This window comes from Homo sapiens, chromosome X (assembly GCF_000001405.40).
Source record: "Homo sapiens chromosome X, GRCh38.p14 Primary Assembly".
In the NCBI taxonomy this organism is placed as follows: domain Eukaryota; kingdom Metazoa; phylum Chordata; class Mammalia; order Primates; family Hominidae; genus Homo; species Homo sapiens.
This window is the reverse complement of record NC_000023.11, coordinates 147,263,969-147,286,933: the sequence shown is the minus strand read 5'-3', so window position 1 is coordinate 147,286,933 and position 22,965 is coordinate 147,263,969. Positions and strand designations below refer to the sequence as shown.

At 38.8% G+C, this 22,965-nt stretch overlaps 2 long non-coding RNA genes and 4 other non-coding genes across 11 annotated transcripts in view; 5 read left to right on the top strand and 1 right to left on the bottom strand.

The window, feature by feature from the left end:
• Positions 1-331: 331 nt before the first annotated feature.
• LOC101928863 (uncharacterized) lies at positions 332-4,549 on the top strand. The gene is made up of 4 exons (XR_001755997.2): positions 332-560; positions 1,806-1,850; positions 3,154-3,259; positions 4,505-4,549. It is a non-coding gene; the product is annotated as an uncharacterized LOC101928863 (long non-coding RNA).
• MIR514A3 (microRNA 514a-3) lies at positions 2,206-2,293 on the top strand. The gene has a single exon (NR_030240.1). It is a non-coding gene; the product is annotated as a microRNA 514a-3 (primary transcript).
• A 354-nt stretch (positions 4,550-4,903) lies between the features above and the next one.
• MIR514A2 (microRNA 514a-2) lies at positions 4,904-4,991 on the top strand. The gene has a single exon (NR_030239.1). It is a non-coding gene; the product is annotated as a microRNA 514a-2 (primary transcript).
• Positions 4,992-7,589: 2,598 nt separating this feature from the next.
• On the top strand, positions 7,590-7,687 carry MIR514A1 (microRNA 514a-1). Its single transcript, NR_030238.1, has one exon. It is a non-coding gene; the product is annotated as a microRNA 514a-1 (primary transcript).
• A 6,838-nt stretch (positions 7,688-14,525) lies between these two features.
• MIR510 (microRNA 510) lies at positions 14,526-14,599 on the top strand. The gene has a single exon (NR_030237.1). It is a non-coding gene; the product is annotated as a microRNA 510 (primary transcript).
• Positions 14,600-15,038: 439 nt separating this feature from the next.
• LOC105373347 (periphilin-1) overlaps positions 15,039-22,965 on the bottom strand; it is a 90,847-nt gene continuing 82,920 nt past the window's right edge. For 3 of the 6 annotated variants that reach the window (XR_005647084.2, XR_005647083.2, XR_005647085.2), the window contains exons 3-4: positions 17,825-17,925; positions 15,039-16,051 (exon numbers count right to left, since the gene is read on the bottom strand). This is a non-coding gene — a long non-coding RNA (periphilin-1). The remainder of the gene's footprint in view (positions 16,052-17,824; positions 17,926-22,965) is intronic. The other 3 variants (XR_938514.3, XR_005647086.2, XR_005647087.2) reach the window with 2 other exon arrangements.

Below are 22,965 nucleotides of genomic sequence, written 5' to 3'. Positions count from 1 at the left end.
TCAGAGAAGACTACTCTAGGAAAGCACTATGGAGCAAAGTTTTGTATTAAGTTAAGGAGTTGAACCAATCTCTAATCTCTCAATGCTTCTAAGACATTCCTTATTCCCTGGCAATGAAGGGGAATCTCAGTTTTTCCTATCTATCTTTCTTGATGTCCATACCCATCTGCAGCCCACTACAGTTGCATCCTGTTCCAAGGGATTTTATGTCACAAATTCAGGGGACTGTTGAGGCACTTTGGTTTTAGAGGTGAAAAGGAAAGAACAACATACAGACAAAGACTCTGTCAAGCTGTGTAGCATAATCCCAAGGCAGTGGAATATGAGGTGAAGAGAATAAGAAGACAGTGGGTGTTGCCATGATGTTTTAGGTGGAGGGGGTTTTCTCTCCCTGGGAAGTTTCCAAAAAATGCCAGTAAGAAATTGAAGATATTTTAATGTATTCTTTTGCCAGCACTGAATATCCTTGACCACGAGGAAAACGGATCAGAGACTGAAACATGAGTTTCTTGTCTTAAAAAGTTGCAGCTGCCTGTTAAACTGATTGTGGCTGTGCACAGGTATGTCTGAAAGAATGAATCTAAATTCTTATCCTCTATCAGCCTAAAGCCAGCACATGGCTATGATGACTGATGTATGTGCTTCTGCATGTTTACTGGATGGAATAGAGAATGGCCCAGCACAAGACAACATGGTGGTAAGAGAAGAGAGAAGGGTGAATTGGACAGGCAGATTACAGTCAAGCTCTCCGATAACAAAACTTATCAGTGTCCACAGGAGATTGGGGCTTCCTCTACTATAACCTATTTTCTCTCCCTTGAGAAATGGAGGGGAAGGTGGTGTTTCTTCACTTTTGGCAAGCTTCACAGAGAAAATAGAGGCGAAAAGTGGCCAGTGGGCCTTAAGGCATTCAGTTAAGATGAGGAATGTGGGGGTTAATAATGCTGAGAAGAGATGACATCTTCTTAGAAATACTAGTACTTTTTGGAAAGATGCTGGGCTTCCTGAAGCTATAAATATAGGCTTCGTATTTTTCATATTAAAGAAGGAAGATTTCAAGATGTTCAGGCATTGAGATGATTTCCTTTAGTATTCATTGTTGTTTCAATAAAAATTTATAAACTAGGGATGATGTTTCTCAAACTTTCCCACTTCCATATTTAAAAATACTTTCAGCCTGTAGCTGCTAAGTTCTAAAACAAACTCCAATTTAAGGCTGTGAATCTTTTTACTTGAATTTCCTTCTAACCCCTTAATGCCAATTACATATATACGTGTAATTAACATGTAAATACATATGCATATACATAATATAGATGCAATTACATATATATGTAATTAACATGCATATACATAATACAGCTGCTTTTTAGTGCACACTTGTGTGAGTTTAGATGAATATGAAATTTGTATAACAATAAAAATTCAATTTTTAAGAAGCCTACAAGATGTGCTGGAGTTAAAACTTCTTTCAGTCCCTGGACTCTAGAAATATTTGTTCTTCTGTAATTTGTTGTACCAGGTTCAGTAGTCCTAGGGAAATGCAGACACCAAATAGCATGTGTGTTGGATAACAAAATGCAAAAACATGCTCTAAACAACCTTGCTCCAGGAATAGACTAAGAAAATTTCTAAGTTGCGAGTTATATGAGGGCATCTCTAGACCACAAGCTCATATCTGTCTTATAGATCACTTCCAGTAAGTAAAATGGGCTTCTTTTTACTCCAGAGTCTAAGAAAGAAAATAAATTTCTATTATCTCCACCACAGCAATCACAGATTATTTTCCTTCTTTTTGCTTTCAGGATCTTGTGTGTTTTCACCACTTACTTTGTGGTTCCAGAGTAGAGGTAAGTAAACTTAGGTAAAGGGCCTCAGATCTTTTAAGACTGGAGTTAAGCATTTTCTGCTTAACTGTTGGATCTGAGGACTGCATACTGCTGATTCATTGTGAGAAAAGCATGCAAGAATATTTCTTTCATGAGCAAGAGAACCTAGACAAAAAGTTCTGAAAACTGCCATGTAAAACCCATGACACATGAGGGGATAGCACTCAAGAGGGATGAATGAAGAAAGACAAGCGGAGTGGGTATTGCATAGGTTATTTGGACAACTGTCAGCGTCTACTCACATCCTGAAAGCATTGAGAAGTTGTTTCAAAAGTGCACAAATGGGTGCTTAGGGAGGGCTTCCATCCTTAAACATGTTGTCTGTGGTACCCTACTCTGGAGAGTGACAATCATGTATAACTAAATTTGATTGACACTTCTGTGAGTAGAGTAACGCATGACACTTACGACAGACAATGGCACTGTGGGTGCATTGAGGGTGTTTTATTGTACACAGAGGGAAGCTTTCTCTAAAGTGCAGGTATAACACCTCTTCAAACCCCTAGTGCTGGCCTCCCTCAAGGGAAGCCTCTTAAGTGCCTTTCAGAGGCCACTGATTTGTTCAACAGAAAATCATCAAGCACATCATACTGTATATCAGTGCTGCAAATACAGTAGTGTAACGGGAGAGGCAAAACTTTCTGTCTTCAAAAAGCTGATATGCTATTGGTACAAATATACAAGAAGTAATAACTGAATAGAATGTTAACTATGTGTTATAGCTTTAAGTACTATAGAGAAACAATAAAACGAATTGAGGTTTGGGCAGTACGGCAGAGAGGAAGAGGTGTGCAATTTCAAATGAGGTGGTCAGAGAAGACTACTCTAGGAAAGCACTATGGAGCAAAGTTTTGTATTAAGTTAAGGAGTCGAACCAATCTCTAATCTCTCAATGCTTCTAAGACAGTCCTTCTTCCCTGGCAGTGAAAGGGAATCTCAGTTTTTCCTGTCTATCTTTTTTGATGTCCATACCCATCTGCAGCCCACTACAGTTGCATCCTGTTCCAAGGGATTTTATGTCACAAATTCAGGGGACTGTTGAGGCACTTTGGTTTTAGAGGTGAAAAGGAAAGAACAACATACAGACAAAGACTCTGTCAAGCTGTGTAGCATAATCCCAAGGCAGTGGAATATGAGGTGAAGAGAATAAGAAGACAGTGGGTGTTGCCATGATGTTTTAGGTGGAGGGGGTTTTCTCTCCCTGGGAAGTTTCCAAAAAATGCCAGTAAGAAATTGAAGATATTTTAATGTATTCTTTTGCCAGCACTGAATATCCTTGACCACGAGGAAAACGGATCAGAGACTGAAACATGAGTTTCTTGTCTTAAAAAGTTGCAGCTGCCTGTTAAACTGATTGTGGCTGTGCACAGGTATGTCTGAAAGAATGAATCTAAATTCTTATCCTCTATCAGCCTAAAGCCAGCACATGGCTATGATGACTGATGTATGTGCTTCTGCATGTTTACTGGATGGAATAGAGAATGGCCCAGCACAAGACAACATGGTGGTAAGAGAAGAGAGAAGGGTGAATTGGACAGGCAGATTACAGTCAAGCTCTCCGATAACAAAACTTATCAGTGTCCACAGGAGATTGGGGCTTCCTCTACTATAACCTATTTTCTCTCCCTTGAGAAATGGAGGGGAAGGTGGTGTTTCTTCACTTTTGGCAAGCTTCACAGAGAAAATAGAGGCGAAAAGTGGCCAGTGGGCCTTAAGGCATTCAGTTAAGATGAGGAATGTGGGGGTTAATAATGCTGAGAAGAGTTGACATCTTCTTAGAAATACTAGTACTTTTTGGAAAGATGCTGGGCTTCCTGAAGCTATAAATATAGGCTTCGTATTTTTCAAATAAAAGAAGGAAGATTTCAAGATGTTCAGGCATTGAGATGATTTCCTTTAGTATTCATTGTTGTTTCAATAAAAACTTATAAACTAGGGATGATGTTTCTCAAACTTTCCCACTTCCATATTTAAAAATACTTTCAGCCTGTAGCTGCTAAGTTCTAAAACAAACTCCAATTTAAGGCTGTGAATCTTTTTACTTGACTTTCCTTCTAACCCCTTAATGCCAATTACATATATACGTGTAAGTAACATGTAAATACATATGCATATACATAATATAGATGCAATTACATATATATGTAATTAACATGCATATACATAATACAGCTGCTTTTTAGTGCACACTTGTGTGAGTTTAGATGAATGTGAAATTTGTATAACAATAAAAATTCAATTTTTAAGAAGCCTACAAGATGTGCTGGAGTTAAAACTTCTTTCAGTCCCTGGACTCTAGAAATATTTGTTCTTCTGTAATTTGTTGTACCAGGTTCAGTAGTCCTAGGGAAATGCAGACACCAAATAGCATGTGTGTTGGATAACAAAATGCAAAAACATGCTCTAAACAACCTTGCTCCAGGAATAGACTAAGAAAATTTCTAAGTTGCGAGTTATATGAGGGCATCTCTAGACCACAAGCTCATATCTGTCTTATAGATCACTTCCAGTAAGTAAAATGGGCTTCTTTTTACTCCAGAGTCTAAGAAAGAAAATAAATTTCTATTATCTCCACCACAGCAATCACAGATTATTTTCCTTCTTTTTGCTTTCAGGATCTTGTGTGTTTTCACCACTTACTTTGTGGTTCCAGAGTAGAGGTAAGTAACTTAGGTAAAGGGCCTCAGATCTTTTAAGACTGGAGTTAAGCATTTTCTGCTTAACTGTTGGATCTGAGGACTGCATACTGCTGATTCATTGCAAGAAAAGCATGCAAGAATATTTCTTTCATGAGCAAGAGAACCTAGACAAAAAGTTCTGAAAACTGCCATGTAAAACCCATGACACATGAGGGGATAGCACTCAAGAGGGATGAATGAAGAAAGACAAGCGGAGTGGGTATTGCATAGGTTATTTGGACAACTGTCAGCGTCTACTCACAGCCTGAAAGCATTGAGAAGTTGTTTCAAAAGTGCACAAATGGGTGCTTAGGGAGGGCTTCCATCCTTAAACATGTTGTCTGTGGTACCCTACTCTGGAGAGTGACAATCATGTATAACTAAATTTGATTGACACTTCTGTGAGTAGAGTAACGCATGACACTTACGACAGACAATGGCACTGTGGGTGCATTGAGGGTGTTTTATTGTACACAGAGGGAAGCTTTCTCTAAAGTGCAGGTATAACACCTCTTCAAACCCCTAGTGCTGGCCTCCCTCAAGGGAAGCCTCTTAAGTGCCTTTCAGAGGCCACTGATTTGTTCAACAGGAAATCATCAAGCACATCATACTGTATATCAGTGCTGCAAATACAGTAGTGTAAAGGGAGAGGCAAAACTTTCTGTCTTCAAAAAGCTGATATGCTATTGGTACAAATATACAAGAAGTAATAACTGAATAGAATGTTAACTATGTGTTATAGCTTTAAGTACTATAGAGAAACAATAAAACGAATTGAGGTTTGGGCAGTATGGCAGAGAGGAAGAGGTGTGCAATTTCAAATGAGGTGGTCAGAGAAGACTACTCTAGGAAAGCACTATGGAGCAAAGTTTTGTATTAAGTTAAGGAGTCGAACCAATCTCTAATCTCTCAATGCTTCTAAGACAGTCCTTCTTCCCTGGCAGTGAAAGGGAATCTCAGTTTTTCCTGTCTATCTTTTTTGATGTCCATACCCATCTGCAGCCCACTACAGTTGCATCCTGTTCCAAGGGATTTTATGTCACAAATTCAGGGGACTGTTGAGGCACTTTGGTTTTAGAGGTGAAAAGGAAAGAACAACATACAGACAAAGACTCTGTCAAGCTGTGTAGTATAATCCCAAGGCAGTGGAATATGAGGTGAAGAGAAAAAGAAGACAGTGACTGTTGCCATGATGTTTTAGGTGGAGGGGGTTTTCTCTCCCTGGGAGGTTTCCAAAAAGTGCCAGTAAGAAATTGAAGATATTTTAATGTATTCTTTTGCCAGCACTGAATATCCTTGACCACAAGGAAAACGGATCAGAGACTGGAACATGAGTTTCTTGTCTTAAAATGTTGCAGCTGCCTGTTAAACTGATTGTGACTGTGCACAGGTATGTCTGAAAGAATGAATCTAAATTCTTATCCTCTATCAGCCTAAAGCCAGCACATGGCTATGATGACTGATGTATGTGCTTCTGCATGTTTACTGGATGGAATAGAGAATGGCCCAGCACAAGACAACATGGTGGCAAGAGAAGAGAGAAGGGTGAATTGGACAGGCAGATTACAGTCAAGCTCTCTGATAACAAAACTTGTCAGTGTCCACAGGAGATTGGGGCTTCCTCTACTATAACCTTTTTTCTCTCCCTTGAGAAATGGAGGGGAAGGTGGTGTTTCTTTCTTTTTGGTAAGCTTCACAGAGAAAATAGAGGCAAAAAGTGGCCAGTGGGCCTTAAGGCATTCAGCTAAGATGAGGAATATGGGGGTTAATAATGCTGAGAAGAGTTGACATCTTCTTAGAAATACTAGTACTTTTTGGAAAGATGCTGGGCTTCCTGCAGCTATAAATATAGGCTTCGTATTTTTCATATTAAAGAAGGAAGATTTCAAGATGTTCAGGCATTGAGATGATTTCCTTTAGTATTCATTGTTGTTTCAATAAAAACTTATAAACTAGGGTTGATGTTTCTCAAACTTTCCCACTTCCATATTTAAAAATACTTTCAGCCTGTAGCTGCTAAGTTCTAAAAGAAACTCCAATTTAAGGCTGTGAATCTTTTTACTTGAATTTCCTTCTAACCCCTTAATGCCAATTACATATATACGTGTAATTAACATGTAAATACATATGCATATACATAATATAGATGCAATTACATATATATGTAATTAACATGCATATACATAATACAGCTGCTTTTTAGTGCACACTTGTGTGAGTTTAGATGAATATGAAATTTGTATAACAATAAAAATTCAATTTTTAAGAAGCCTACAAGATGTGCTGGAGTTAAAACTTCTTTCAGTCCCTGGACTCTAGAAATATTTGTTCTTCTGTAATTTGTTGTACCAGGTTCAGTAGTCCTAGGGAAATGCAGACACCAAATAGCATGTGTGTTGGATAACAAAATGCAAAAACATGCTCTAAACAACCTTGCTCCAGGAATAGACTAAGAAAATTTCTAAGTTGCGAGTTATATGAGGGCATCTCTAGACCACAAGCTCATATCTGTCTTATAGATCACTTCCAGTAAGTAAAATGGGCTTCTTTTTACTCCAGGGTCTAAGAAAGAAAATAAATTTCTATTATCTCCACCACAGCAATCACAGATTATTTTCCTTCTTTTTGCTTTCAGGATCTTGTGTGTTTTCACCACTTACTTTGTGGTTCCAGAGTAGAGGTAAGTAACTTAGGTAAAGGGCCTCAGATCTTTTAAGACTGGAGTTAAGCATTTTCTGCTTAACTGTTGGATCTGAGGACTGCATACTGCTGATTCATTGCGATAAAAGCATGCAAGAATATTTCTTTCATGAGCAAGAGAACCTAGACAAAAAGTTCTGAAAACTGCCATGTAAAACCCATGACACATGAGGGGATAGCACTCGAGGGATGAATGAAGAAAGACGAGTGGGTATTGCATAGGTTATTTGGACAACTGTCAGTGTCTACTCACAGCCTGAAAGCATTGAGAAGTTGTTTCAAAAGTGCACAAATGGGTGCTTAGGGAGGGCTTCCATCCTTAAACATGTTGTCTGTGGTACCCTACTCTGGAGAGTGACAATCATGTATAATTAAATTTGATTGACACTTCTGTGAGTAGAGTAACGCATGACACGTACGACAGACAATGGCACTGTGGGTGCATTGAGGGTGTTTTATTGTACACAGAGGGAAGCTTTCTCTAAAATGCACGTATAATACCTCTTCAAACCCCTAGTGCTGGCCTCCCTCAAGGGAAGCCTCTTAAGTGCCTTTCAGAGGCAAGTCCTAGGAACTCCCATGGTTCTTCTGTGAGTCATATTCCTTTTCCCAAGTTGCTTGATGGAAATGAGAAAAAGACTTTCAGTGTGATGACAGTGTGCCTCGTTGCCTTTGTGGTAGATTTTTGTTTTTGTTTTTCTTTTTCTTTTTCTTTTTCTTTTTGTAAAAGCTTTTGCCTATGTTATCCCTCAAATCCTTTAACCTGTTCTCCCATAACAGTTCCCCTCATGATTTTAAAGTCTTCTCCTTTAGCCCTCTCCAAATGGCCTCCCACTTTTAAGTTATCTACTCTGCTGAAGCTCAGTTTTTTGACTTTCTGATGTTGAATCTGCTTTCTTCGTGGGCCCAACAGATGGTAGTTCTTTTGAAAATATCTTTGAATCCTCTACAAGTCATCAGTTTATTAGGGCTTATGCGTAGTACCCAAATAATTTTGCTGTTTGATATAATTTTATTTGTTTCTTCACAAAAAGTTCGATATCTTTTGGTTTTCTACAGAGAGAGTTGGGGATGCTAAGTACCATAGGCTTGGGTGCTGTCAGCTGGACTGGAAAAGTGTCTAAGGAGCAAGACACAAATCTTACTTCTTTGTGTTGGACAAAAGAAAATAAGCTGGTGTGTTTTTCCTTTAATTCTGATCAGGGAGTTGAGTTGGAAATGGCTCTTTGTGATATTTTGTCTGCATCAATAAGGCATATGTATCACCATACTTCAATCCTTTGTGAACATTTACTTACCAAGACAGGAGAAATGTCTCTTTTATTTCTTATCATGGCCACACCGCAAATATCTTCTGATCACAGTTCATTAATTGTGATCAGATTTTGTGTTGTTTTCTTTCATTTATTGTCTTCTGATTTATTTTTTGCTATGTGTTATTGGGGACACAAGGTTTTTGGATGTTTTATGTATGGCTTTTGGTGAAATTTTTAAAATGTGTTTTTTCATTTAGTTGCTGTTGATTTCTCTGATCTTTAAAACATCTAGGACATAAAATGTCCCATGCCCTGATGCTCTCCCTGAATTCCAGAGTGTGTCAGAGAGAGAATTCTGTTCTTGGGACACTGATTGTGAGAAATAAGCATTTAAAAAAAATAAGACTCTTCAATGGTGGTGGGGTGTTCTATGGGTTTTAAAAAAATACTTGTAGTTCTGTATCTATTACTATGATCATGATAGAGAAAAGTTACATTGCCCCCAAAATTACCTCATTCTGCCTTTTGGGTAGTAAATCCCCAGCCCAGCCTAACATCTGGTAACCACTGCTCTGTTTTCCACCTTTATAGTCTGTCTTTTTCCAGACTGCATAATTGCAGTCTCATGCTATGTTGGTCTTTGGTCTGGTTCCTTTCACTTAAAATGCATTCAAAATTCATCCATGTTTCTGTAGGAACTAATATTCTGTTGTAATTGCTAAGTAGTATTACAGTCAAATGTGAATGAAATGAGTTGTTTCCAGTTGTTGGTGATTATGCATAAAGCTACTGTAAAGTTTGCATACAGACGTATGTGAGAAGACAAGTTTCATTTCACATTTATAAATAGCTAGAGTGGGATTGCTAGGTCTATGAAAAGTTTGTTTAAATTGATTTTTTTAAGAAACCTAAGAAGACTATTTTCCAGAATGGCTTTACATATTGTGTTTCTGTGAACAATGCATCATAGTTACAGTTGCCCAAATCATCACCAAAACTTGGTATTGACAAATATTCATAACCATTCTCTATGGCTTATTGACTTATTATATTGTTGTTCAAACTTGCATTTTTTAATTATACTTTAAGTTTTAGGGTACATGTGCACAACATGCAGGTTTGTTACATATGTATACATGTGCCATGTTGGTGTGCTGCACCCATTAACTCACCATTTAACATTAGGTATATCTCCTAATGCTACTTGCATTTTTTTAATTGACTAATGATGTTGATCAATTTTTCATGTGCTTATTGGCCATCCACAGTCTTCTATGATTAAGTGTCTATTGAGATTTTTTATTTTATTTTATTGGATTTTTTGATTTCTTATTGTGGAATTTTTTGTTTATTGTGTATTCTGATTACAAATCCTTTGGCAGAAATGTGATTTGTATATATTTTCTCCCAGTCTCTAATTTCTTGTTTGAATTCTCTCAAGTTTGTCTTTATTTACAGAGCAAATATTTTCAATACTGATAGTGAAATGCTGTGTATGGTACCTTGCTCCAGACAGTGATAATCATGCATAATTAAATATGATTGACACCTCTACAAGTGGAGTAACACACATCATGTACAACATATGTGATGACACTGTGGGTGAATTTAGAGGTATTTAGTTGCATGCAGAGAGATGGTTTCCCTAGAGTACATATATGCCACCCCGTATACCTCTCTGTCCCTCTTGCTGGTCTACTTTAGATAAACCAATTAAGTGAATTCTCTGAGGCAAGTCTGAGGACTACAAGAAACTGAGAAAAAATTCTCCTGTTGAGGTTTGTTGTTGTTGTTGTTTTGCTTGTTTTTTTTTGTTTGTTTTTATTTCCCCCCCTGGGATTTGTACACATTTTTCCAAAATTGCCTGACTAAAATAGGAACAGTCTTTCAGTGTGGTTATGTGATTCTTCTCTTCATAAAGAGTATGATTAATTTTGCACAACCTATTTCCTGCCCCTACATCCAGGTCTGTTAACCCATTCTCACTTTTCAGTTGCCCTCATTATCTTCAAAGCTTCTCCATGGTTCTTCCCAAATTCCTTCCTGCTTCCCAGGTCCTAATCTGCTTGAAGCCCAGTGTCTTTTATTGGGCTTTTTCAGGGACCTGGAAAATGCTCATTCTTTTGAAAGCATGCTTGAATATAATGAAAATTACCAATTTATTACAGTTTGTGTATCACACTGAGAAATTTATACTCTTTGATTTTGTCACTTTTTTTTAAAAAAAGGGATGTAGTTATATTTTCCTTTTGGTGTCCCTTCCTAATGCAGTGAGGTGAGAGAGAGATGGAGTCAAACAGAGACAGAGAGACATACATAGAGGGAGAAGGGCATAGAGAAAGACAGAAAAACAGAGGGAGGAGTCAGGAAGAGAATCAATAGCCTGCTTATTTTTATTACTGAATAGAATATTAGTCATAAGTGAAGGACATCTGGGTTGTTTCCAATTGTTAGTGATTATGAATAATGCTAGGGTATATGTTTGCATACAGATATATGTGCAAACACAAGTTTTATTTTGTGTTAATAGCTCAAAGTGGGATTTATGTTAAGTATGTTAACTCTAAGTTAAATTTAAGAGAAATAGAAAAAAACTCTTCAAGAATGGCATTAATTACTATGTTGTACTGTCATGAACAATGTATCAGTGATCCACTTACCCAAATACTTATCTGCACTTGGTATGAGCATGGTTTTTGAGTGTTTTTATTTTTATAGGCTATTCTAATACGTGTGTTTTGTCAATATAGTTTCAGCTTGCATCTCTTTGTTGACGAAATGTTAAGCATCTCTTCATATACTTATTTGCCATTCATATATCTGCTTTGTTGAATTGTCTGTTAAGGTATTTTCCCCATATTTATTGAGTTGGGAGAGTTTTTATGCATTCTGAATTCAATTTATTTGTCAGATATGTGATTTTTTTTCTTTCTTTCTTTTTTTCTGTTTTTTTTTGAGACGGAGTCTCACTCTGTCACCAGGCTGGAGTGCAGTGGCACGATCTCGGCTCACTGCAGCCTCTGACTCCCTGGTTCAAGTGAGTCTCCTGCCTCAGCCTCCTGACTAGCTGGGATTACAGGCGTGTGCCACCATGCCCAGCTAATTTTTTGTATTTTTAGTAGAGACAGGGTTTCACCATGTTGGCCAGGATGGTCTCAATCTCCTGACCTCATGATCCGCCTGCCTTGGCTTCCCAACGTGCTGGGATTACAGGCATGAGCCACCGTCCCCGGCCCAGATATGTGATTTTCAAATATTTTTTCTTAGTCTGTGGTTTACTTTTGCATTCCCTTAACCATGTGTTGTACAGAGCAAACTTTTTTTTTTTTGTATTTTCATAAAGGATGATTCACCATTTGTTATTTTATGGTTTACATTTTAATGCCATATCTTAGAGTGTCTAAATTTAGGTACGTGATTCTTGGTTGACTGTTTTCCTTTTAGCACTATAAATGTTATTCCAGTGTCTTCCGGCCTCTATGGTTTCTAATGAAAAGTCAGCGAAATATATTGTAGAGGATCCCTTGTATGCATTAAGTTTATTTTTTCTAGTAGATTTCAATATTCTCTTTTTTTGTCACCAAAAAGTAGATATGTCTCTCAGCTTGGATTTCTTTTGTTTATGCTACCTGTAGTGTTTTGCACTTCTTAGGTATAATAAAAAATGTTTTTCATCAAATTTAGATATTCACAGCCATTTTTAAAAAATACTTTTTTGCTCCTTTCTATCTTTCACTTCTGCTACCTTAATATGCGTATTTTGATGTGCATGCTGGTGTTCTGCCTTTCTCTGAGGCACTGTTCATTTTCTTCACTCATTTTATTCTTTTATTTTTATAGAATTATCACTTTCAAGGTATCTTAAAGTTCACTGATTCTTTTTTCTCCTGAGTCCTTCTAGTGAATTTTTCACTTCAATTATTTTACTTTTATACTCCATAAATTCCTTTTCTTTAAATATTTCTACCTCTTTATTGATAGACTCTTTTGATGAGGCATTGTCAACATAGCTGCCTTTACTCTTCCAAGCACCATTTGTTTAGTGTTTTGAAAATACTTACAGTGGATGCTTTAAGGTTGTTGTTAAGTATAACATTAGGCTCTGTTGCCAGCATTTTCTGTAATCTACTTTTGTCCTGTGTGTTATATTTTTATTTTCTCTGTATGTCTGAGAATGTCCAGTTGAGAACTGGATATTTTATTAATATATTATAGAAGTTTTGGATGCAGATCTTGCTTCTGGGGATTGTTGTTGTCTGATTTTTTTATTTGTTGATTTACTTGGCTGTGCTGTTTTAGTAAAATCTATATTCTTTTTATTGTGAAAACCTAATGTTGTTCCTTGCAAGGTATAACTTTGGATATGTACACAGTCACTCTAAACTGTCGTGATTTTAGTAGAGTTCTTTGTTCTTTTGCTGCTCTTTCTGTTAAGCTGCCTGCCTCTGCGGTATCACACACAGGTAATAAGCTTCAGTGTTTGCAGGTGGATTATTTTGTAGCTTTTGAGAATACCATGGGCAAAAATTGCTTTAGAGTCTTATCCAAATACTTTGCAGATAATTTTTGGGGCAGGTCTCTAAAGGCTATTCTCCTACCAGAAAGGCTCTTATTAGCTGTCTGTTTCCTGATTCCAGTTCCATCCTAATTACTTGGCACCACAGTCTACATTATTTGTGAGACCTTTCTTGTCTTCTGTTACAACTGAAGTCATTTTCTTTTGAGAAGGAAAGCTTTAATGCTTTTTCTCTTAGGGCTAGCCTCTCTCAATGGACAAATCCCTGAGCAGTTGCCCCAAGCTGAGAATAAGGCAGTGTCCTGCTTCTTGTACACTGACACCCCTGCTTTACAACCAGGGTGATGAGTGATAGCAGTGGATTCTAGTGTTCTGGTTTGCCTCACCCAAAGTGGAAGCTCCCCCTGATGATTAAGCTGAGATGAGGAGTATTACGTACTCAATTATCTCCGCCGGCTGCACCTGGTATAGAGCCTAAACCCTGTGATGAAGAATGGCTATAGTAGCAGGCCCCTGACCTCTAACCTCACATGCCTAGTATTTAGCCTCTGAAACACTAAACTGGGTTTGTGGAGTGGATGAGAAATTCTGGAGGCTTCTTAAACCCACAAGTATATTGTTGCTCTTGATTAGGAGATAGGGGAACAGGTAATTTTGTAAGCCACAGTCACTTTAAATTCTCAGTTCTCAGTCTCTGAAATCCAGTCACCAAAATTGTGTCCATATTTTTGTGTGTGCTAATTTTAGTTTTGCAGGGAAACACAGTCACCTAGTAGCATGTGTCTCAGATTGGAAAAATGCAAACACATGCTAAAAAGAACCTTGCTCCCAGAAAAGACGAAGAAAACCCAGAAACTGAAAAATCTCTAAGAGTGTCTGGGTGCCTAGCACAATTTCTGTTTTGTAGATCACTCCTGGTAAGTAAAATGGGATTTTTTTTTTCACTTCAAAATTTGATGAGGATAAAAGAAATTCTACTCTCTCCATCTTACCACTCACTGATTATTCTCTCTTCTTTGCTTCCAGGATCCTGTGTGATGTCCTTGCTTATTCTGTAGTGAGGAGTTGTAGTAAGGAACTCAGGTAGAAGAACTCAGATCTTTGGATGATAGGCACAGATTGGTGAGATAGAGTGTAGTGTCTGGGTAGCTACTGAATCTGGGGAATGCAATCTACTCATTAATACTTTATATAAAACAATGGGAAAAGAAATAGAATAAGGCATCGAATGAGATTTTTCCCGTTAGCAGGAGAGCCTAGCAGGAAGGTTCTTAGTCCTGAAAACTGCCATGTGAAAACTCCAAACCATGAGTGGACAACACTCAAGGGGGAATGAGTGAATAAAAAATGATGTAGGTTCTTCAGGAATCATTTACATAAATGCCAACGGCCACTTACAGACTGAAAACATTTGAGAGGTTGTTTGAAAAGTGTGTGATTAAGTATTTAGGCTGTGCTCCCATTTTCAGGAATGCTGTGTATGTGTGTGGTGTCCTACTCAGGAGAGTGGCAATCACATGTAATTAGGTGTGATTGAAACCTCTAAGAGTGGAGTAACACATGACATGTACTACATATGCAATGATATTGCAGATATTTAGTTGCATGCAGTGGTATGCTTTTCTTAGCACATAGATAGTCCATCTGGTACCCTCCTCAATACTAAACTAGCTGGGGAGTTTCTAGATAAACTTCTGAAGACAAGACATAGGAAATAAAGGTTTTGGGAAAAAGTGTTTCACTGATTTCTTAGGGGCTTCATATCCTTCTTTACAAACTTGCAAGACTAAAATGGGAAAAAAGCCTTTTAGTATGGTCATGGTGTTCCTATCTGCCTGTGAATTTTTTTTTTTTTTGATAACCCTTACCTGCGGGGTCCATCCCACAGACCCTGGCCAAGCAACGGATGAAAGGAGTACTCAGCCACAGGCATGCAGTGTAAGAGCAGCTACAGGAATGCCCAGCACTAATGGCTGAAGAGTGAGCAGTCTCGAACAGCTGGAGCTGCTTGCTTTTATTCAGTACAGACAAAATAATGAAAGCCTGGAGCCAACACAATCTGTGGGTAATTAACATTATTATTCCCCCTTTCAGGGAGCAGTCTCCTGCCCTGATGATCAAAGTCGGTTTCCGGACAATGTAAGTAAACAAGCCTGTTTATGCCAAATTCCCCTATACTTCCTTACCTACCCCTTGCCCTCTGCCTCAGGGTAAGAGAACAGCTGCCTTCAGCTTATTCATCCCTGAAGCTATCCAGAGCCTTCCCGCCTTTCAGAAGGTCTGTTCCTTTCCCTATACCTTCTCCTACCACTCTGACCGATCTCCCGCGTCTCCCCCTTTTCTGTTTTTAGCATCGGGTTTTGTTGATTGAATAGTACAGATGTGTGCAGTGACAGATTTGACAGGCGCAGCGGTTACAGCTCGTGTTCCGGCTTTGCATCCTAGAATTAGTAAATAACATAAGTCAAACATTAGTATAGTCACTATTATTCTTTTCCAATCAAGGAGAGATATGTAGTGTTACTTGGCACCTCAGTTCAATGTGTGCCATTATTAAGGAACCCCACTGGGGGCATGTCAACCCCTCCCAGCTAAGCAGTTACATTATTAGAGGATGGGAAGGGGGTGTCTGCCAAGGTAACAGGTTGGAAGAAAGGCAGATCTTAGAAGATGGGCCCAATAGAATGTAGCAGGTATGAGTTGCAGGCAAAGTGAGAGAATAAGAAAGGTGAATACCCTATGAGAGTTGCAAGGTACAATAGAGAGCATAGCAAGGAACAGATTATCTGGAGTGATGGTGTCTGTGTCCAGAGAAGGATTCACTCGGCCTCCTGAGTTGTCTTCTTCAGCTTCCCCCAGGTAATGTCTGGGGCCTGTGTCATCGGAGGAAGCCACATCGTCTGGGGCTGCGGGTCCTGCAGCGTCGTTTCCTTTATTTTTGATACCAGCTTGGGTCTTAGCCACGCCATGGTATGGTTTGATGTGTCTGTCACACTGGAATACAAAGAGGACCTGAGGGCGTGTGAACACAAGCATATTCTCTTCCCCAGGTCAGCAAATCATTTGGACCACACCATAGATTACTATTAACTTCTTTCCATAAAACCATGGGTTTTATGTCTTGAGGGGCTTTTGCAAAATGCTTTTCTATGGCTGATTGAAATTTATCTAAATTAAAAAAATTAAGGGTAAATAAGGCTTATGCTAGTAGTGTTGCAGCATCCTTACTCATATTCCCCCTTGTTTTCTGAGCATATTTTTAAGGGTGGAATGGGCATGTTCTACTATGACTTGTCCTTGGGATTTGTACGGGATGCCTGTGGATGTCACATATTGGACATCCATGTGTGACAAAATTGGTGAAATTGTGAGCTGGTGTAAGCTGGACCATTAGTAGTTTTAATTTTTGTGGGCCGCCCCATAAACGCAAAACTTAAGAGAATATGTTTAATGACATACTGGGCAAACTCTCCGGGAAGAGCATGAGTGCTAATTAGGTGGGAATTGGTATCAATGGATATATGTACATATTTTAGTTTTCCAAATTCAGGGATGTGCGTAACGTCTGTTTGCCATAACTGATTAGGTTCTAGTCCTCTAGGGTTAACACGTGTTGATGGAGGGGACATGCCTCTGAGCTGGCCTTTCATTAATGATAGCTGGTATTGTAAATGCAAATTTTTCTCTGTCCTGTTTTGCAAGGGGAATAGTGTAAAAGCAGTCTTTAAAGTCAATAAAACAGTCTTTTGAGTCAATATGGGCCAACCTTGAGGAATCACCATGGGGGAAGGGATCCCCTGTTGAAGGGGCCCCATAGGTTGCAAATTAGCATTGATGGCAGGTAAGTCATGCAAAAGTTTCCATCTAGCAGACCTTTTGGGAATGATGAAAATGAGTGATTCCAAGGGCCGTTTGACGGTTCTATATGGCTGGCTTTTAATTGTTCTTCAACTAATTCATGGGCTGTTTGTGATTTCTCTCCCTTTAAAGGCCACTGTTCAACCCAAATAGGATCTTGAAAGAGCCATGTCAGGGGTCGGGGAAGAATAACAACAGTGGCCATTATTAGAAAGGGGCCATATGGAAGTTGTTTGCTATGGCCTCGATTAATCCTCGTGTAAATGGGCTAGCGGCTCTGTTTTCTCTAATGCTTTTTTGTTATTTCTTTATAAGTGTTGAAACTAATGGATTCACGTACCCAGTTGCCTTGTTGATCTTGCATCACCGGGCAGGCCAAGAGTTCCCCTTCTAATGCCACTTGCCTAGGACTGTAGTGTATCCTTTGTCTTTTTTGCAATTTATTGGGGTGGGGGCGGGGGGTGCTCAGGGAAAATCTGTGTCTCCTCTCTGGCAGCTTTACCTGGTAATAGTGGGGCTGAGGGAGGAGGAGGAGGCGGTAAGGTAGGTGATGGTTCCTCCTCCTCCCTTCCCTTTTTAGGCTCTTCTGTGCAGAGAGGGGCCAAAGCAGCCCTGACTAAGGCCCATAATGTTAAAGATGTTACTGGGACCCGTTGCCCTTGTGCATGATGTTGTTTATGATTTCCCCCAACTTGTTCCCAGAGCTCTACATCTAGTGTGCCTTCTTCCAGGAACCATGGGTTATGGGAAGCAGCAGTTTGCATTAGGTCCCTTAACTGAGCCTGTGAAACCAAGGCTCTGCTAGCTTTAAGCAGCAGTTTCAATACTTTTATATACTGTTGAGCTGATAACTGTTGTCCCATGATGAAACCCTAGCTTGAAAATTCCCTCGAACTTGGAAATCCCGAGGGGGCACCAATGACTTACTGACTGCACAGTCTCTTCACCTTCGTTTTCGAGGGTTCTGTCGCAGTCCGTTGCAGCGTTCCTCACACAGGGCACCAGCTGCCGGGTCCATCCTGCAGACCCTGGCCAAGCGACGGATGAAAGGAGTACTCAGACACAGGTATGCAGTCTAAGAGCAGCCAGGGACTGCCCTAATGGCTGAAGAGTGAGCAGTCTCGAACAGTTGGAGCTGCTTGCTTTTATTCAGTACAGACAAAATAATGAAAGCCTGGAGCCAACACAGTCTGTGGGTAATTAACATTGTTCCCAGTTTCAGGGAGCAGTCTCCTGCCCTGATGATCAAAGGTCGGTTCCAGACAACATAAGTAAACCAGCCTGTTTATGCCAAATTCCCCTACACTTCCTTGTACCAACTCCTTGCCCTCTGCCTCAGGGTAAGAGAACAGCTGCCTTCAGCTTATTCATTCCTGAAGCTATACAGAGCCTTCTGATCTTTCAGAAGGCCTGCTCCTTTCCCTATACCTTCTCCCACAACTCTGACTGATCTCCCACCACTCTGACTGATCTCCCACACTTACCTTACCCCAGACTCCAAATGTGATAAAACGTTCTCACATATTAGCTCCTCTCACCATTTTCAAGGCTTTTTCATTAGGCCTTCTCAAATACCCTCCTAAATCTCTTACCATAATGAATTTCAAATGTTTTACTCTCATTTATTGAAGGCCTTTCTTTTATTCACTGACCTAGAAGGTATTCATTCTTTAGGAAAATAGTTTTCTCATTCTTCAGTTGTGTTTTTGCCCAGTTGATTGTTTCCTTTGCTGTGCAGAAACTTTTTTTATTTTGATGTAATCTCATTTGTCTATTTCTGCTTTTGCTGCCCATGCTTTTGAGGTGATATCTAAATATGTTTTTGCTCAAAACAATGTAATGGAGCTTTCCCTCTATGCTTTCTTCTAGTAGTTTCATAGTTTGGGGTCTTACCTTTAAGCCTTTAATCCATTTTGAGTTGATTTTTGTATATGGCATGAAATAAGGGTCCAATTTCATTCCTCTGCATGTAGGTATTCAGTTTTCCTACTACTATTGAAGAGTCTGTCTTTAACCCATTGTGTCTTCTTGACACCTTTGTTAGAAATCAGTTGGGTATAGATATGTGGATTTATTTCTGGTCTCTCTAGTCTGTTTTACTAGTCTATACTTCTGTTTTTATTCCAGTACCATGCTATTTTAATTCCTATTGCTTTGTAATATATTTTGTAATGAGGTAGTGCTGTGCCTCCAGCTTCATTCTTTTTGCTAAAGTTTACTCTGGCTATCTGAGGTCATTTGTATTTCCATATGAATTTTAGATCATTTTTTCTATTTCCTTTTGTTTTAGAGTGAGGCAGGGTCTCACTCTGTCATCCAGGATGGAATGCAGTGGTGCAATCATAGTTCACTGAAGCCTTGACCTCCTGGACTCAAGTGATCCTCCCACCTCAGCCTCACAAGTAGCTGGGACTACAGGCATGAGCCACCATGCCTGGCTAATTTTCTGATTTTTTTTTTTTTTTTTTTTTTTTTTTTGGTAAAGCAGAAGTCTCCTGATGTTGCCCAGGCTGGTCTCAAACTTTTGGGCTCAAGCAATCCTCAGGCCTCTGCCTCCCAAAGTGCTAGGATTACAAAAGTGTGATCCACCTGTTTTTGGATTTATATGAAGAATGTCATTGGCATTTTGATAAGGATTGCATGGAACCTGTAAATTGTTTTTGGGAAGCATGGAAATGTTAAATACATATTTATTGAGACAGAGTCTGGTTCTGTTGCCCAAGCTGTAGTGCAGTGGGGCAATCTCAGCTTACTGCCACTTCTGCCTCCCAGGCTCAAGCCATGCTCCCACTTCAGCCTCATGAGTTGCTGGGACTACAGGTGCACGCCACTACATGCAGCTAATTTTTGTGTTAATGTTTTTTGTAGTGATGTGATGGGGTCTCACTTTGTTGCCCAGGCTGGTCTCATACTTGTGAGTGCAAGTAATTCACCCACCTCAGCCTCCCAAAGTGCTGGGACTACAGGCATGAGCCACCACATGCAAAAACAATGTATTTCTTAAAATTCATGAACATGGGATGTCTTTCCATTTATTTGTGTCTTTTCCAATTTCTTTCATCAGTATTTCATGATCTCACTCATATGTGGAATCTAAAAATGTTGATCTCATAGAAATAGAGAGTAGAATGGGGATTACCAGAGGCTGAGGTGTTCAGGGTGAAGATAAGGAAATATTGGTCAAATAATACATAATTAGAGATAGATAGTAGTAATAAGTTCAAGAGATCTATTGCACAGCATGGTGACTATAATTAATAATGACATATTGTATTCTTGAAAAATCCAAAGATGGTAAATGTTTAGTGTTCTCACTCCAAAAAGATAACTATGTGAGGTAACACATCTGTTAATTAGCTAGATTTAACTATTGCACTATGTATATATTCTTCAAAACATCATGTTGTACATGGTAAGTACATACCATTTTATCTACTAGTTTTAAAGACAACTAAATACAAAAGAAAGGAAAAAAAAAGACATTCATAAGAACTGTTTTCCAGAATGGCTTTAATATTTTATGCTGCCATGAACAATGTGGCAGAGTTCCAGTTAACCAAATCCCTACCAGCACTTGGTATCAGCAGTTTTGTGGCTTATTTTTTATTAGCTGTTTTAGTACACACAGTCATGGTTTTAGTTTGCATCTCCTCATTGTCTGAAAATGTTGGAAATTGCCTCATACACTTACTTGCCATTCACATATCTTCTCTGGCAAACTGTCCGTGGAGATGTGGATACTTTTTCCATTTTTATTGAGTTGTTTGATTTACTATTATTGAGTTTAAGAGTTTTTATTGTATTCATACTTTCAGTCATTTTACAGAAATGTCAATCGCATATATTTTCACAGGGTGTCTTTGTTTTTCACTCTATTAGCATTGTGCTACACAGAACAAAGGTTATTACATTTATTTTGATATATTGTAATTGGTCATTCTTTTTCCTTTCTGAATTGTGCTTTTAATGTCTAATCTAAGAGCTTTTAGTCTTAGATATAAGAATCTTGGTTGACATATTATTTTTTCAGCACTTTGAATATGTCATCTCACTGTCTTCTGGCCTCCATGGTTTCTGATGAAATGTTCAGTGTTAATCTTAGTGAGGATTTATTTTACGCAATGAACTGTTTTTCTGTTATAGCTTTCAAAATTCCTTTTATCATCACCGACAGATTAAATATAATATCTGTCCATTTGGACCTCCTTATGTTTATTCTACTTTGAATTTGTTGCATGTCTTTAATGTGTAGGTTATTGTTTTTTATTACATTTGGGAAATTTTTAACCATTATTTTAAAGATTTTTTACTGCTCTTTTTCCTTTTCTCTCTCCTTCTGTTACTCCCAATACATATTTTATTGTTTCTTCTCCTGTTCCACTTTTATCTAAGGCTCTGCTTTTTACACTCATTCATTTTACTGTATATTCTCTGTAAAGAATAATCATTATCAATCTGTTTTCTAGTCTTTCCTCTGCTAGTTCAAATCTACTGTTGAACCTCTCTGTTGATTTTTTTCATTTCAGATGTTGTGCTTTTAAACTCCAGAATATTCTATTTAAAACATTTTCTACCTCTTTTTTGATATATGTGTCTGATGAGAGATTGTCACAATAACTTCCTTTATTTCTCAAATAATGGTTTATATCTTTGTAAATATTTATACTTGCTTTAACGTATTTATCCATGACTGTGATATTTGGACCTCATCACAGGAATACTTTGGATTCTAGTGTCTGTTTTTCTCCTGTGTATAGGATACATTTTCCTTTTCTTTTCATGTCTTAGAAATGTTATTGAAAGCTAGACATTTTAGATGATTTACTGTAGCAATTCCAGATAATATTCTCCCCTCCTAGAGATTGTTTTGTTTTTGTCTTTTGTTTAACGGCATATTAAATTTAAAATACTGTACTATTAAAGATTTGTCTGCAGCATGAAGCCTCTTATGTTGCTCTTCGTAGGGCATAGCCTTCAATATGCACTTAGTCATTCAAAGAAGACAGCAGGGGTTTTTCGTTTGCTTTTTTGTGTGTATTTATTTTGTAGAGATGGGGCCTTACTGTGTTGCCCAGGCTGGTCTTGAACTCCTAGCCTCAAGCAATCCTCCCACCTCAGCCTCTCAATGTACTGGGATTATAGGTGAGAGCCATCATGCCCAACCAAAGACAGCAGTTTTATTGGGGTTCTTTTTGACTGTTTTTGTTCCTGCTCTCTTTGTCAAGCTGTCTGCCTTTGGGTGGATTCCACAGAGCCCTTAGGATCCCTAATTTTAGATAATTATTATATATTTCTTAAACGCTATGGACAAAAACTGTTCCAGAGTTTTATTCAAATAATTTAGGTGCTTTTCCATAGGTAGTTTTTGAGGAATGTTTTTAAGTTTTTACGGAAACCAAGAGGGCTTTCGTTATTTATCTCTTTCCCTGGTTCGCTCTGGTTTCTTGCTCTCAGGGAGCATCATCTTATTTGCTAATCACCAAAATCTACATTGCTTTTGAGAATGTATTAGGATTGACCTTTCCCATACTCTGTTACAAATAGAGTCAGATTCTGTAGGGCAGTGGTCGCCAACCTTCCTGGCACCAGGGACTGGTTTCATGGAAGACAATTTTTCCACAGACCAGGTTGGAGGGGATGGTTTTGGGATGAGACTGTTTCATCTCAGATCATCAGGCATTAGATTCTCATAAGCAGTGTGCAACCCAGATCTTTCACGTGGGCAGGTCACAATAGGGTTCTTGCTTCTATGAGAATCTAATGCTACCACTGAACTGACAGTAGGTGGAGGTCAGGCAGTAATGCTGGCTTGCTTGCCCACCACTCACCTCCTGCTGTGTGGCCTGGTTCCTAACAGGTCATGGACTGGTACTGGTCCACAGCCTGGGGGTTGGGGACCCCTACTTTAGGGAGAGCTTTAATATTCTATATTAGGCCAGCATCTCACACTAGGCAAAATCTTAGAATCACTGAGCCGGAGATGGCATTAAGGGCAGTGGCTTCCTTCCCTCACAGGGACACTTCTGCTTTATGAGCATGTTGCTTATCAGTGGTTGTAGACCACGTTT